The following is a 15,850-nucleotide window of genomic DNA, read 5'->3' as shown; positions in this document are numbered from 1 at the left end:
ATCCCAGCTACTCGAGAGGCTGAAGTGGGAGGATTGCTTTAGCTTGGGAGTTCAAAACTGCAGTAAGCCATGATTGTGCCACTCTACTCCAGCCTGGGCAACAGAGTGAGACCCCATCTCAAAAAAATTTATTCAGTTAAAATCTTTAACAATAAAGCAATTTTGAGTCGTATTTTGCAACATTCTCAATATAGTTTTCCAACTTGCATTAAAATACATTTTAAACATTTTTGAAGACTAAATTAATTTTTTTAACTGACATTTATGTTTCATTTGACAACCTTTTGCTGTATATTTTATGTGGACTTTTAGGTATTGTAGTGATTCCTTTAATGAAGAAATAAAATAATTGTCATTTAAAAATGCATATTATTATTACCTTATGCTATAAAAATAGTTTTAAAATAGAGTATGTTTATTAAGATTTAAAAATAAGTATAGTCATGCACTGCATAACAGCGTTTTAGTCAGACTGCATAAGATTACGATGGAGCTGAAAAATTACTGTCACACAAATACTTACCATTGTGTTATTATTTCCATACACTGTTCAGTACAGTAACATATATGCTGTACAGGTTTGTAGCCTAGGAGCAACAGGCTATACAGCATAGCTTAGGTGTGTAGTAGGTTATACCATCTAGGTTTGTGTAAGTACACTATCATGTTTGTATAACAACAAAATTGCCCAACAGCTCATTTCTCTTTATGTATCCATGACTGTATATTTTTTATTGTGGTAAAAAACACTTAACGTGAGACCTACCTTCTTCCACAAATTTTTAAGGGTACAATATAGTATTGTTAACTGTCTGTACATTGTTATATAGCAGATCTCTAGAACTTTTCATCTTGCATGACTAAAATTATACCCATTGAACAGCACCTCCCAATTTTCGTCTCCCTCTAACCCCTGGTAACCACCATTTTACTTTCTGATTTGATGAGTTTTACTGTTTTAGACACCTGATATTAGTGGATTCATGCAATATTTGTCCTTCTGTGACTGGCTTATTTCACTTAGTGTAATGTCCTCAAGATTCATCCATGTTGTAGTATATGACAGGATTTTTTTAAGGATACATAATATTTGGTTGTATGTATATTACCACATTTATTTTATCCATTCAACTGTCCTGGACATTTAGGTGGTTGTTAGTGTCTTGACTGCTGTGACAAAATAAGTACTTTTAAAAGTCTCACATTTGCAAGTTCAATTTGAACCTTTTTTTAGTCTGCTTGCACTTCTCTTATCAAGCAAGAAAGCACTTTTCTGCTTTTTCTATTACTAGTAACAGTGGAGATTAAATATCTCATGTTTTTGGGCGTTCTAGAGCCCAACACATCACCTGTTCCTTTCCATACTACCACAACTGACACTCTCTGGAAAGTGCCACCTCCCTGCAGCAGGCCAACCAGCACAAAAATAGTACATTAAACCAGCAAAGCTAAGAACCCTCAAAGAGTACATTTCACCCTCCTACCACCTCCACTGGAACAGGTGCTGGTATCCACAGCTGAGAGACCCACAGATGGTTCACATCTCCCGACTCTGTGCAGACTACCCCCCAGTACCAGCCTGGAGTCTGGTAGACTTGCTGGGTGGCTAGATCCAGAAGAGAGATAGCAATCACTACAGCTCAGCTCTCAGGAAGCCACATCCATAGGAAAAGGGAGAGAGTACTACATCAAGGGAACACCCCGTAGGACGAAAGAATCTGAACAACAACCTTCAGCCCTAGACCTTCTCTCTGACAGAGCCTACCCAAATGAGAAGGAACCAGAAAACCGACCCTGGTAGTATGACAAAACAAGGTTCTTTAACACCCCCCAAAAAATCACACTAGCTCACCAGCAATGGATCCAAACTAAGAAGAAATCCCTGACTTACTTGAAAAAGAGTTCACTAGGTTGGTTATTAAGCTAAGGCATCAGAGAAAGGTGAAGCCCAATGTAAGGATATTAAAAAAAAAAAGATACAAGAAGTAAAGGGAGAAATATTCAATGAACTAGATAGCATAAATAAAAAACAATCAAAACTTTAGGAAATAATGGACATACTTATAGAAATATAAAATGCTCTGGAAAGTCTTAGCAATAGAATTGAACAAGTAGAAGAAGGAAATTCAGAGCCTGAAGACAAGGTCTTCTAATTAACCGAATCCAATAAAGACAAAGAAAAAAGAATAAGAAAATATGAAGAAAGCCTTCAAGAAATCTGGAATTATGTTAAATGACCAAACCTAAGAATAACCAGCATTCCTGAGGAAGAAGAGAAATCTAAACGTTTGTTAAACATATTTGGGGGAATAATTGAGGAAAACTTCCCCAGCTTTGCTAGAGACCTAGATCCAAATACAAGAAGCACAAAGAACATCTGGGAAATTCATCACAAAAAGATCGTCATCTAGGCACATTGTCGTCAGGTTATCTGAAGTTAAGATGAAAGAAAGAGCTGTGAAACAAAAGCACCAGGTAACCTATAAAGGAAAACTTACCAGATTAACAGCACATTTCTCAGCAGAAACCCTGCAAGCCAGAAGGGATTGGAACCCTATCTTCAGCCTCCTCAAACAAAACAATTATCAGCTGAGAATTTTGTATTCAGCAAAACTAAGCTTCATATATGAAGACAAGATACAGCTTTTTCAGACAAACAGAGAATTCACCACTACCAAGCCACCAGTGCAAGAATGCTAAAAGGAACTCTAAATCTTGAAACAAATCCTGGAAACATATCAAAACAGAACCTCTTTAAAACATAAATATCACAGGACCTATAAAACAAAAGTACAATTAGAAAAACAACAAAAACCAAAAAAACAAGGTATACAGGCAACAAATAGCATGATGAATAGAGTGGTACCTCACATCTCAATACTAACATTGAATATAAATGGCCTAAATGCTCCACTTAAAAGATACAGAATTGCAGAATAGGTAAGAATTCACCAACCAACTATCTGTCGCCTTCAAGAGTCTCACCTAACACATAAGGACTCACATAAACTTAAGGTAAAGGGATGGACCAAGACATTTCATGCAAACGGACACCAAATGTGAGCAGGAGTAGCCATTCTTATATTAGACAAAACAAACTTTAAAGAAATAGCAGTTTAAAAAGACAAAGAGGGACATTATATAATGAAAAAAAGGCCTTGTCCAACAGGAAAGTATCACAATCCTAAACATATGCACCTAACACTGGAGCTCCCAAATTTATAAAAGAATTACTAATAGACCTAAAAAATTAGACAGACAGCAACACAATAATAGTGAGGGATTTTAATACTCCACTGACAGCACTGCACAGGTCATCAAGACAGAAAGTCAACAAAGAAACAGTGGATTTAAACTATACCTTGGAACAAATGGAGTTAAAAGATATATACAGAATATTCCATCCAACAACCACAGAATATACGTTCTGTTCAACAGCACATGAACTTTCTGTAAGATAGACCATATGATAGCCAACAAAATGAGCCTCAATAAATTTTAAGAAAATTAAAATTATATCAAGCACTCTCTCAGACCACAGTGGAATAAAACTGGAAATCAACTCCAAAAGGAACCTTCAAAACCATGCAGATACATGGAATAACCTGCTCCTGAATGATCATTGGGTCAAAGATGAAATCAAGATGGAAATGTAAAAGTTCCTCAAACTGAATGACAATAATGACACAACCTATCAACCTCTGGGATACAGCAAAGGTGGTGCTAAGAGGAAAGTTCATAGCCCTAAATGCCTCCATCAAAAAGTTGGAAAGAGCACAGACAATCTAAGGTCACATCTCAAAGAACTAGAGAAACAAGAACAAACCCAGCAGAAGAAAGAAGATCAGAGCGGAATTAAATGAAATTGAAACAAAACAACAAAAAAATCCAAAAGATAAATGAAACGAAAAGCTGGTTCTTTGAAAAGATAAATAAAATTGATAGACCGTTAGCAAGATTAGCCAAGAAAAGAGAGAAAATCCAAATAAGCTCAATAAGAAATGAAACGGGAGATATTACAACTGACACCACAGAAATACAAAAGATATTCAAGGCTACTATGAACACCTTTACATGCATAAACTAGAAAACCTAAAATAGATGGATAAATTCCTGGAAAGATACAACCCTCCTAGCTTAAATCAGGAAGAATTACCCTGAACAGACCAGTAACAAGCAGGGAGATTGAAATGGTAATTAAAAAATTACCAACAAAAAAATGTCCAGGACTAGACGGATTCACAACAGAATTCCACCAGATATTCAAAGAAGAATTGGTACCAGTCTTAAAGACACTATTCCACAAGAGAGAGAAAGAAGGAATCCTCCCTAAATCATGAAGCCAGTATCACCCTAATACCAAAACCAGGAAAGGACATAACCAAAGAAGAAAACTACAGACCAATATCCTTGAACATAGATGCTAAAATCCTTAAGAAAATTCTAGCTAACTGATTCCAACAACATATCAAAAAGATAATCCACCATGATCAAGGGGTTTCATACCAGGGATGCAGGGATGGTTTAACATACACATGTGCGTAGCCAAAGCAAGACTAAGCAAAAAGAACAAATCTGAAGGCATCACATTACCTGATTTCAAACTTATACTATAAGGCCATAGTCACCAAAACAGCATGGTACGGTTATAAAAATAGGCACATGGACCAATGGAACAGAATAGAGAACCCAGAAATAAACCCAAATACTTACAGCCAACTGATCTTCAACAAAGCAAACAAAAACGTAAAGTGGAAAAAGGATACCCTTTTCAACAAATGGTGCTGGGATAATTGGCTAGCCACATGTAGGAGAATGAAACTGGATCCTCATCTCTCACTGTATACAAAAATCAACCCAAGATAAATTAAAGACTTAAATCTAAGACCTGAAACTATAAAAATTCTAAAAGATACCATTGGAAAAATCATTCTAGACATTGGCTTAGGCAAGGATTTCAAGCAAATGCAATAAAAACAAAGATAAATAGCTGGGACTTAATTAAACTAAAGAAATTTTGCACAGCAAAAGGAACAGTCAGCAGAGTAAACAGACAACCCACAGAGAAGGAGAAAATCTTTCATAATATATACATCTGAAAAAGAACAAATATCCAGAATCTACAATGAACTCCAACAAATCAGCAAGAAAAGCAGTCCCATCAAAAAGTGGGCTAAGGACATGAATAGACCGTTCTTAAAAGGAGATATACAAATGGCCAATAAACATATGGAAAAATGCTCAACATCACTAATGATCAGGGAAATGCAAATCAAAACCACAGTGCGATACCGCCTTACTTCTGCAAGAATGGCCATAATAAAAAAATCAAAAAAATAGTAGATGTTGGCATGGATGTGGTGAACCCAGAACACTTCTACACTGCTGGTGGGAATGTAAACTAGTACAACCACTATGGAAAACAGTGTGGAGATTCCTTAAAGAACTAAAAGTAGAACTACCATTTGGTCCAGCAATCCCACTACTAGATATCCACCCAGAGGAAAAGAAGTCATTATACGAAAAAGATACGTGCACTCGCATGTTTATAGCAGCACAATTCGCAATTGCAAAAACGTGGAACCAACCCAAATGCCCATCAATCAATGCGTGGATAAAGTAACTGTGATATATATACATACAATGGAATACTCCTCAGCCATAAAAAGGAGTGAATTAATGGCATTCGCAGTGACCTGGATAAGATTGGAGACTATTATTCTAAGTGAAAGAACTCAGGAATGGAAAACCAAACATCGCTATGTTCTCACTCATAAGTGGGAGCTAAGCTATGAGGATGCAAAGGCATAAGAATGACACAATGAACTTTGGGGACTCAGGGAGAAAGGGTGGGAAGGGGATGAGGAATAAAAGACAAAAATTGGGTGCAGTGTATACTGCTCAGGTGATGGGTGTACCAAAATCTCACAAATCACCACTAAAGAAGTTAACCAACACCACCTGTTCCCCAGTAACCTATGGAAAGAAAGAAATGTCTCATATGTTTCTGCCTAAATTGGTCTTTAATACTTTAGCGATTCTCTTGAGTTTGGACTATAAAATAGTTTTGGTCTTTTTGTATTTTCTGCTGTAAGCCTGTATGATTATGTAATGGTGAGTAAAATTGCTAGGCCAGATACGCAGTTCTAGGAAGTTATTCAAAGATGTGCTTTAGTATATTATTTTCTACCTTTTTAAATTCATTTTGAGCTTGGCTTTTGAGCCTCTATTTTCCAAGGTGAGGTGTATGTTTTTATAATGTTATGCTTAGCCCTTGTGTATTTTCATCTCTGAGTTTGAAATTTGGGGTTATATTGGCAAAGGGAGGTTTGGGTTTTAATTAGGTGACCTGTTACAGGAAATGTTAAGCTTCTGTTTCTTTGGGGTAGACAGTGAGAGATTTATCAAGATAAAGAAGAAAAATAAATCCTAAAGTTAATATTCAATACATGATGATGTCACCCTTACTAAAGCCAAAGAGGGCATTATCCTATCATTCTCATCGCTAAGAACTCTTCTCCTCTTGGCACATGCTTATTCAGTTAAAGATAAGCCAAGCCTTTCTTTTGTATTTTTTTTTTAAGAGAAAAAATTTACTTCGGTTTTGAGTTTTATTCCTGGCTCTGGGTAGCTTATTTTTTTGACCCTTATTTTCCCCAATTTATAAAATGAAATAGTTATCTTCACTCCCCAGGATTGTTGTGAAGAGTAAGTCAAAAGATAAAATGAGGTGACTCAGGCAAAAGTACCTGGCCCTGTGTAGTGAGTACATTGTATGTGTTACATATATTCTTATTGCTGAGAATCCACGAAAGAATGAATTAAATAATGAGGACCCTTTCATCAGGGTTTTTGAGTGAGTTTTTTAAAATACAAGGTAGTAGTTTGTGTAAATACTAAATCCATTGGTACCTGTGCAGAATGTAGGAAATGGAGTTGCTAATTCCAAAAAAAACAGCACATATGCTGAGGAAAGTATAATACCTAATATATATGGTTTAAGCAATGTAAAATTCCATGAATATGTTCCTTTTCATCTTAAAATTTGTGATTTAAAAAACATTGATATTACTATAAAGAATTATTATTATTTCCCTTGATTTACAGAGTATTGTTACAATCACATTTGAAGTACCAGGAAATGCAAAGGAAGAACATCTTAATATGTTTATTCAGGTGAATGCAATTTTTAACTGATTAATGATTTATCAATGGTTTTGTTACATAGTTGTTGCTATTAGCGATGGTTGGTCTTATTAAAATATGTCACTTGATACAGAATCTCCTGTGGGAAAAGAATGTGAGAAACAAGGACAATCACTGCATGGAGGTCATAAGGCTGAAGGTACAGTTTACTGTTGCAGACTTTTGGACAAAGTCCTTTTCTTGGCTGTTATAAAAACTATATTTGGTTTTAAACAGAAACACTGGTTTTAGTACAAATCATCTTTGTCTACTTTCATTTTTCTTTATTATTTTCATGACTGAAAAGGAGCTTTGGAAATCACTGCATAAGGCTTGATTTATTTGCACAACTTTCTTTAGGGTTGCAGCTAGAACAAACCTGTGCGCTTTGAAATGTTACCTTCTGCTCTCTGTTCCCAAGTACAGAGAAATAATGTTGCAAATCTCACTTCTGCTGAACATTATGCTTCCTGATGCATTTAGCAGACACTAAACATTTGTCATACTCTAAACAAAGTTACAAAGGACTAGAAGAATTCTTGTTCTGTATTTAGAAACCCACTCACATTACTTGATATTTGGGTATTTAAGTCATGAAAGGTATTTCTTCTAGGAAGCAGTGATTCTAAAGTGTATGCTTAACCAGTCAGTTGAGTGTCTACTCTTGTGTGTTCACAAGTGTACACAAAGTTTTTGGTAAATTAAGAATATTATTTCAAATAAATTAATTTCATCCCCATAGGAGCCAGTTTATCAGATAATTCGTTTCTCATTTCTGCAAATCAGTACACAATGAGCTCATATTCAGATAAATATAATAGTTTTTCTTTATTTCAACATTGTTCATTGATTGCAACCCATTTCTAAAACAAATTATTTAATATAACCAAACTCCTTTAACTTCTCAACTTTTCCCACTAAAACTGTGAAACATTATATAAAATCTTTAATCAATAGGATATGATACATATTTCATCATTTTGTTTCAGGTTTTGGTTGTGATAAATAACACTGAAAAACCATCCTAATATATGTATTAACTTTATCATTAGAAAAGGGGATTGTTCAAAAAAAAAACAATACACAGAAACCTTTTTTGAAAATTAAAAACATTAAGAAACTTCTTGTAATTCACAAATAATTGAAATTAAGTAATTTTCTCAGCTTAAGAGTTTGTATTTTTTAAGTGAATATCAGTAATTAATCCATTAACATTGATGCTCTATTTCTGCTTTTAAGTTTGAACTGAGGCTGATCAATGTTCAGTCAATTCTCCTTTGAGCAGGGATTGGTGTCAATCAAAGACAAATCACAACAAGTGATTGTCCAGGGTGTCCATGAGCTCTATGATCTGGAGGAGACTCCAGTGAGCTGGAAGGATGACACTGAGAGAACAAATTGATTGGTCCTCATTGGTAAGTCTCAAAGGATTCACAGTTTTAAAACAAAGTGAAAAATATATTTGAAAGGGATATCATGTGCCACTTAAACAGATTAACCATTCAGGTCCTCTTTTAAAACTAAATAAGCTTGTGGTCAATGTTTCATCTTTATCATGTTACAACGTTCGTAAAAGCTTGTTAGGACTTTTGTTCTTCTTCAGTTTTAGAAAAGTGGTTAATCCAAGGACCAATGTGACTTTGATGTACTGACCTGGAAAGTTAAAGATGGAATCACTCAATTGCTATTCTTTTTGTAAATTTCTAAACACCATAAAGCATTTAATGAACTGGAATTGATAGGTGAACTGTGTCATTTTAATAAGCATAATGTAATCACGTCATATTTTGTTTTGTTTGCAGGCAGAAATTTAGATAAGGATATCCTTAAACAGCTGTTTATAGCTACTGTGACAGAAACAGAAAAGCAGTGGACAACACATTTCAAAGAAGATCAAGTTTGTACATAACACTAGTGGCATTTCTTATCAAAAGGATTGGATAATAAAAATAAGTTTCTACTGTGTATATTTCAAGCATTTATTTATTACTTTAGTTACGAATTCCAGTATACTTTAAAATGGTATTTGTTTTACAGCATACATAAAATGTAGCAAATCAGTACTGTAAAACATTTAACATTCATACAATTATATATAATATCCTTTTTTTTAAAGAATGGTATTTCACAAAAATATCTTTTGAAATTGGCTTTGGAGTTTACATATACTGAACATGAAAGTTTATAATAATGATGATACAACTTTCAACATTGTCATTTTTTCTTAGAACTTCAGCTGATTGCAGAGATATAATGATTACATTGTTATTAAATTTTTTTAACACAAGTAAGTGTCACCATTTTATGACATGAAATAAAAGGTTATGACTGTTATTGATGTTGATGTTGACGACCTGATCACCTGGCTGAAGGAGTGTTTGTCAGGTTTCTGCATTGTAAAGTTACTCTTCTCCCCCATTTCATACTGTGCTCTTTGGAAGGAAATCACTATGCACAGCCCACACTAAAGGAATGGGGAGTTGTAGTGTACTTTCTTGGGAGTGATCTACATAATTAATTGAAATTCTTCTGCAAGGGACAGTTGTCCCTTTCGCTTTATTAGTTTGATCATTTATGTTTATCAGTGTGGACACGAATATTTTATACTTTGGGTTACAATTTAATACTACTTTATTTTGTTGCTCAAATTTTCCCAGCTTTGACCATTGGGAACTCTTTCAGTTATCTCCTGTTCCCCCCTTTGACATACCCCCATCAATGTGGGTTTTGTGTTTTGTTTTTGAGCGCCTCCTTATTTTTCTCCTGTATTTTTAAATAACCCCAATCCCTATTGAAGCTGGCGCTAGGAAAACTAACAATACTCCCTTTCCCAGGTCATCCGATTCCTATGCTGATGGAGGAAATTTGCCTCACATGCTGGGGGGCGCTGGGGAGGAGGCGTCTGGGATTATGTGGTTGAATAAGACACGTGGCCTGGCCCTCCTGGAGCTTAGTTTAGTAGGTCACACAAGCAGTCATTGGTAAATTTGGGATTCAAACAAATCTGTTAGGCTCAAACCTGTCTGTTATTTGTCCTCCAAGCTTCATATAAACTGAGGAGCCCTAAAGGGTAAAAACTTCAGGAGCAGCAAAGTTTCAAAAAAAGATCAGCAAGAAAGCTCTTTTCCAGATTTTATCCTGAAGGCACTAGCTACTTTAAGCTATTTTTTATTATATTTTGCCCTTGCAGTTGGCGTTTGATTTCTCACTGAACATTCATTGTCATAATTATAGACACTATGTGACTATCAAGGGCATAATATTCTTTCATGCTGCATTTTTTATTAGATGGCACCTCAAAGTTTTCCCAAGTAGGTGGGTTTTAAATTATGAATATATACCGTGGCATAGTATCTTACTTAGTATTTTAATAAGATCCTTATTTATATAACAAATATTTTTTTATTCCTCTGTATTGCTACTTTAGTCTCTGAGCTAATTTTCATGAAGCCAATCTAAAAATCGTGTTACTTCTAAGGATGTGGAGCGAGTGAGATGAACAGTTGTGCTGTCATATTGCCCCTCCCCAGTGCAGATAGTGAATGAGGACCCACTGATTTAAAGGCAACACTGCAGCCCCTTCTTGCCTCATTGAAATCTCAAGTTTTATTACAGTAAAAGCACTTAATGTTGACATTTCTGAAAGAATGAAGAGGCCGGGCACGGTGGCTCACGCCGGTAATCCCAGCACTTTGGGAGGCTGAGGCAAGCGGATCATGAGGTCAGGACATCGAGACCATCCTGGCTAACACGGTGAAACCCCGTCTCTACTAAAAATACAAAAAATTAGCCAGGCGTGGTGGCGAGCGCCTGTAGTCCCATCTACTTGGGAGGCTGAGGCAGGAGAATGGCGTGAACCCAGGAGGCGGAGCTTGCAGTGAGCTGAGATCGCCCCACTGCACTCCAGCCTGGGCGACAGAGCGAGACTCCGTCCCAGATAAATAAATAACCAACCAAATTAGCTGGGCGTGGTGGCGGGCGCCTGTAGTCCCAACTACTCAGGAGGCTGAGGCAGGAGAATGGCGTGAACCCGGGAGGCGGAGCTTGCAGTGGTCCTAGATTGTGTCACTGCACTCCAGCCTGGGCGACAGAGCGACTCCGTCTCAAAAAAAAAAAAAAAAAAAAAAGAAAAAGAATGAAGAGCCAGAGCCAGGCATAGTGGCACGCCTGTAGTCCCACCTACTCAGGAGGCTGAGGCGGGAGGATCACTTGAGCCCAGGAATTCAAAGCCAGCCTGCGCAACATAGACCCTGTCTCTAAAAATGAATTGGTTATAAAGGATGAAGAAAGGAAGGAGGAAAGGGAGAAAGAGAAGCCCTTATAGAGTGGGTGCATTTCTTGTATGTGGGGCCACTTTGTAAGAACAGGATTTTTCAAACTGGGCCCATACTGGTATGTGTGAAATCAACTTAGTTGGTTATGGCCATTTTTTTTTAAAAGGAAATATCAGTGATCACTATAGTGTAAGTATATTGTTTCGTGAAACCCATCTTAGTTATGTATTATGTCTGTATGTGTAAGATTGTTATATAAAATGTATTTCTGTGGTTAAATATTCAAAGAAATTGGAGAACCATTGCTACAAGGGGACAGAGGACTCCGTGTGAGCTCTCCTGCCTTCCCTGAATAAACTTACACAATTTAGTGCTGGGACATTTGGACCTTTTCTGAAAATTTGAGTCAGGGAGAGCATCTTGGGGAGGTGGGAAGGAAGGTAGAAGGAGCAAAGCAACACCCCCCTGAAGCCTGGGAATATTGTCAGAACCTTAAATATAATTCAGCTCACCATTCTGGGTAAGGACAGACTCTACCAATGAAAATGGGTGATTACCAGCTGTGAAACACAAAAACATACTTTTACGGTTACACATTCCTTTACAAACAACCGTGTACATTTCAGCCTCCTGCCCCACCATTTCTTTTCTCCAGGAGGGAAGGCTGCATGTCGAGGTGGTCATAGAATGTTGAGTATCATACTTTCCTACCTCGCTTTTATTTGCGCGGGTTTAAATGCGCCTTAACAGAACCCGTGCAAAGGCTTGCCAACTGTCTGGCTGCACCGGATGAGTAGAGCATCTTCCTTGGTGGCAGGTGGGTGCGAGGAGGAGGGGCCTGGGCTTTTCTCCGGACAGTGTTTGCCCAGAAGACCATCATCCCTGGACTACGTTAGGAGTAAGTGGCACCGCTCCGAGGTGGGGGAAGAAGGGTTATAAAGGGGGGAGTCCACCACACATGGTCTTGAAGAAGCTTTTATAAAAGGCAAAGGCATCTTTGCCGGACGTTGTTGCAAAGGAGTAGAAACAAGCAGACGAAAACATCCCAAAGGGTAACCACTAGCATTGCTGCTTCTTGCAACATTCATCCCAGGCTTCCAGCTCAGCCCGCCCCAGGCCAGGTGATCGGCCGCCACATCCCCTGCGACTGAAGCACCTGCTCCTCCATGAACCTGCCAAGAGCTGAGCGCCCTCGCTCCACACCGCAGCGCAGCCTCCGGGACTCCGATGGGGAAGACGGTAAAATCGATGTCCTGGGAGAGGAGGAAGATGAAGACGAGGTGGAAGACGAGGAGGAGGAGGCGAGACAGCAGTTCCTAGAGCAGTCACTCCAGCCGGGGCTGCAGGTGGCCCGGTGGGGCGGGGTTGCGCTTCCCCGAGAGCACATCGAGGGCGGCGGCGGCCCGAGTGACCCCTCAGAGTTTGGCACCAAGTTCAGGGCACCGCCAAGGTCTGCGGCGGCCTCTGAAGATGCCCGGCAGCCGGCAAAGCCCCCCTACTCGTACATCGCGCTCATCACCATGGCCATCCTGCAAAACCCGCACAAGCGCCTCACGCTCAGCGGCATCTGCGCCTTCATTAGTGGCCGCTTCCCATACTACCGCCGCAAGTTCCCCGCCTGGCAGAACAGCATCCGCCACAACCTCTCGCTGAACGACTGCTTCGTTAAGATCCCCCGCGAGCCGGGCCACCCAGGCAAGGGCAACTACTGGAGCCTGGACCCCGCCTCCCAGGACATGTTCGACAATGGCAGCTTTCTCCGGCGTAGGAAGCGTTTCAAGCGCCACCAACTGACCCCGGGAGCCCACCTGCCCCACCCCTTCCCTCTACCTGCTGCGCACGCCGCCCTGCACAACCCCCACCCAGGCCCTCTGCTTGGGGCCCCTGCCCCGCCGCAGCCAGTCCCGGGGGCCTACCCCAACACCGCCCCCGGGAGATGCCCTTACGCTCTGCTGCACCCGCATCCTCTTCGCTACCTACTGCTCTCGGCCCCCGTCTATGCCGGGGCACCGAAGAAAGCAGAAGGCGCGGACCTGGCGACCCCGGCACCCTTCCCGTGCTGCAGCCCTCACTTGGTCCTCAGCCTTGGGAGGAGGGCAAGGGTCTGGCGTCGCCACCGGGAGGCGGATGCATCTCTTTCAGCATTGAGAGTATTATGCAAGGGGTCAGGGGAGCGGGTACAGGGGCTGCGCAGAGTTTGTCCCCGACCGCGTGGAGCTACTGCCACCTGCTCCAGCGACCATCAAGCCTGTTGCATCCCCAAACCGCTGCCCCTTTGCTGCAAGTGTCCGCCGCCGCTGCTGCTCGGACAATTTTGCAGCAATAGCAGCAGCATCAGGAGGACTGCGCCAACGGCTGCGCTCCCACCAAGGGCGCGGTGCTGGGCGGGCACCTGTCGGCCTCGTCGGCGCTGCTGAGGTATCAGGCAGTGGCGGAGGGCTCTAGGCTGACATCGCTGGCTGCCCCTTTGGGCGGAGAGGGGACCTCACCAGTTTTTTTAGTATCGCCCACGCCCAGTTCCCTGGCCAACTCCGCAGGGCCCTCCTAGAGCCAGGTGGGAGTGGGGAGCGACCCGCAGCTGCTCACTCCACCTTGCGCGGCCCATACTGGGCGTGTGCATCTGAATCCCGCTGGAGAGCAAACACGAACTTCTGTTCGTTCGCTGCAAAATGGTTAGAAAGATTACATTCCTCTAAGCTGGATTACGTTCCTCTAAAAACCACCTGAACGTAACCTTCGCAGGGCGTCAAGTCATCTTTTCTTGCCTTCGGTTGTGGCTTCTATGGCTGTCCCGATTTGCACATTGTCATCTTTGAAGGTTAGTGACATAGCATTCATCTTCTGTTGTCACCTTTTCCGTCATTCCCTGTATGCCTGATGGACAGGTTTCACTGAAGTTCAGAGAACAGCATGCAAAATTAGCTACCAATTAATCTTTATGAAGTGAGCTGCATTTCTAGCCACACTGAGCTTATGTTTTAGCAGGAAGCATTTTTGGGAAATGTTTATGTTAGAGTTTGCCCTTCTTGACAAGGTGAGACATAAATGTCTACTTTAGAGACATGAATTAAGATGGGAAGATATTTGGGGGAATCATTTACTCAAACGCTAAGTAATAAAGGTACACAAAGGGCAAATTATACTAGATTTCTTTCCCACTTGTTTTCTATGTCTCTTGCAATTCACCTTGATTCCCTTCAGTTTCTGTTTAATGTAGAAAGTGGCATTTTCATTATTTTAAGCTTCTAGCACAATGAAAGAATTTCTCTTTTTCATGAACAGGATCATAAATGGAAGGGAGGAAGAGTGTCCTATATCATATTTATTGTTCAACAAAACACTGCTCCACGGCTTCAATTCAGTTTAAAAAAGAGAATTTATTGAATATCTAACACATACATAAAAGGCAGTAAAGACAAATGAGAAGAGGGGAGGATATTGAAGTATACGGACTTCAATGCTGAGTTTTACATCTTAGGAAGTTACTCCACCTTACAGAGTCTGAATTTCCCCTGATTTAGGAAGGCGATGCTAATGGGTATTGCATAGGTGTAAGTATAAAAATGTTGTATTTAAGAGAATCCCACAAGCTTGGTATAAGGCAGAAAATAAATAGATGTGACATGAATAAGTAGTTTATTACATTTGTATGCTACCTGCGGACTAGAGGAAGCAAGAAAAACAGCCACTATGCTTGATTAGCATTATAGAGATGGTACAATGATGGTTGCCAGAAGCTGGGGGGAGGAAGAAATGGGGAAGTATTGTTTAATGGGTATAGAGTTTCAGTTTTACAAGATGAAACGAATTATGGAGATGGATGGTAGGGACGGCTGCACAATGTTATGACTATATTTAGTACCACTGAACTGTACACTTAAAATGGTTAACAGAGTACATTTTATGTTATGTGTATTTTACCACAATAAAAAAATAAAATACCTTAGGAACATTTTCATGAAAAAGCCCACATAAAATTCATTTTAATGCACGTGTTTTTGCATAGCTTTCTATTTTTCTCTTTTCTCTTTATATTCCAAATTCTAATCAGAGAAGGGAATCCCCTCTGTACCTCCAGGATATTCAGTAAAGACCACTGGAGGTTCATGCCCTAGTGACAGTGCTCATTTAGCTCCAAATTACAGATGGCTCTAGACTAACTCCACAAAGTTTAAAGAGAAGATTTAAAACAACAACAGACAAATACGCATCCTGAAGTTACTGAACTGCCTGCCACAACATTGTTCAAAGGTAGCCAATAAAATCTAGATATTCAATAGCATAACATCAAAATACCCCCCCAAAAAAACTCTGACATGCAAAGAAGCCGTAAGATATATAAAATTAAGATATATATTAACAGGATAAAAATAAGTCATTTATAAATGACA

At 39.7% G+C, this 15,850-nt stretch overlaps 1 protein-coding gene and 1 pseudogene across 1 annotated transcript, besides 1 other annotated feature; both read left to right on the top strand.

Annotated features, from left to right (window-relative positions):
* Positions 1-9,723, top strand: part of ZNG1DP (Zn regulated GTPase metalloprotein activator 1D, pseudogene) — a 34,003-nt pseudogene extending 24,280 nt beyond the window's left edge.
* Positions 9,724-11,793: 2,070 nt separating this feature from the next.
* On the top strand, positions 11,794-14,902 carry FOXD4L5 (forkhead box D4 like 5). The gene has a single exon (NM_001126334.1). The coding sequence runs from the start codon at positions 12,626-12,628 to the stop codon at positions 13,874-13,876; it is 1,251 nt and encodes a 416-aa protein (NP_001119806.1). The 5' UTR covers positions 11,794-12,625; the 3' UTR covers positions 13,877-14,902.
* Positions 13,270-13,801: an enhancer, noted in NCBI's record as "H3K27ac-H3K4me1 hESC enhancer chr9:70176808-70177339 (GRCh37/hg19 assembly coordinates)". NCBI's record gives its function as "activates a minimal SCP1, AML or CMV promoter by ChIP-STARR-seq in naive H9 embryonic stem cells {active_cell/tissue: H9 hESC(naive)}" and the evidence as "EXISTENCE:reporter gene assay evidence [ECO:0000049][PMID:30033119]".
* Positions 14,903-15,850: the final 948 nt, after the last annotated feature.

Source organism: Homo sapiens, chromosome 9 (assembly GCF_000001405.40).
Source record: "Homo sapiens chromosome 9, GRCh38.p14 Primary Assembly".
NCBI classification, from domain to species: domain Eukaryota; kingdom Metazoa; phylum Chordata; class Mammalia; order Primates; family Hominidae; genus Homo; species Homo sapiens.
This window is presented reverse-complemented; position numbering and strand designations above follow the sequence as displayed.

Excerpts from the sequence above, each read along its gene's own strand:
- FOXD4L5 (NM_001126334.1), top strand. The coding sequence starts at position 12,626 with ATGAACCTGCCAAGAGCTGAGCGCCCTCGCTCCACACCGCAGCGCAGC.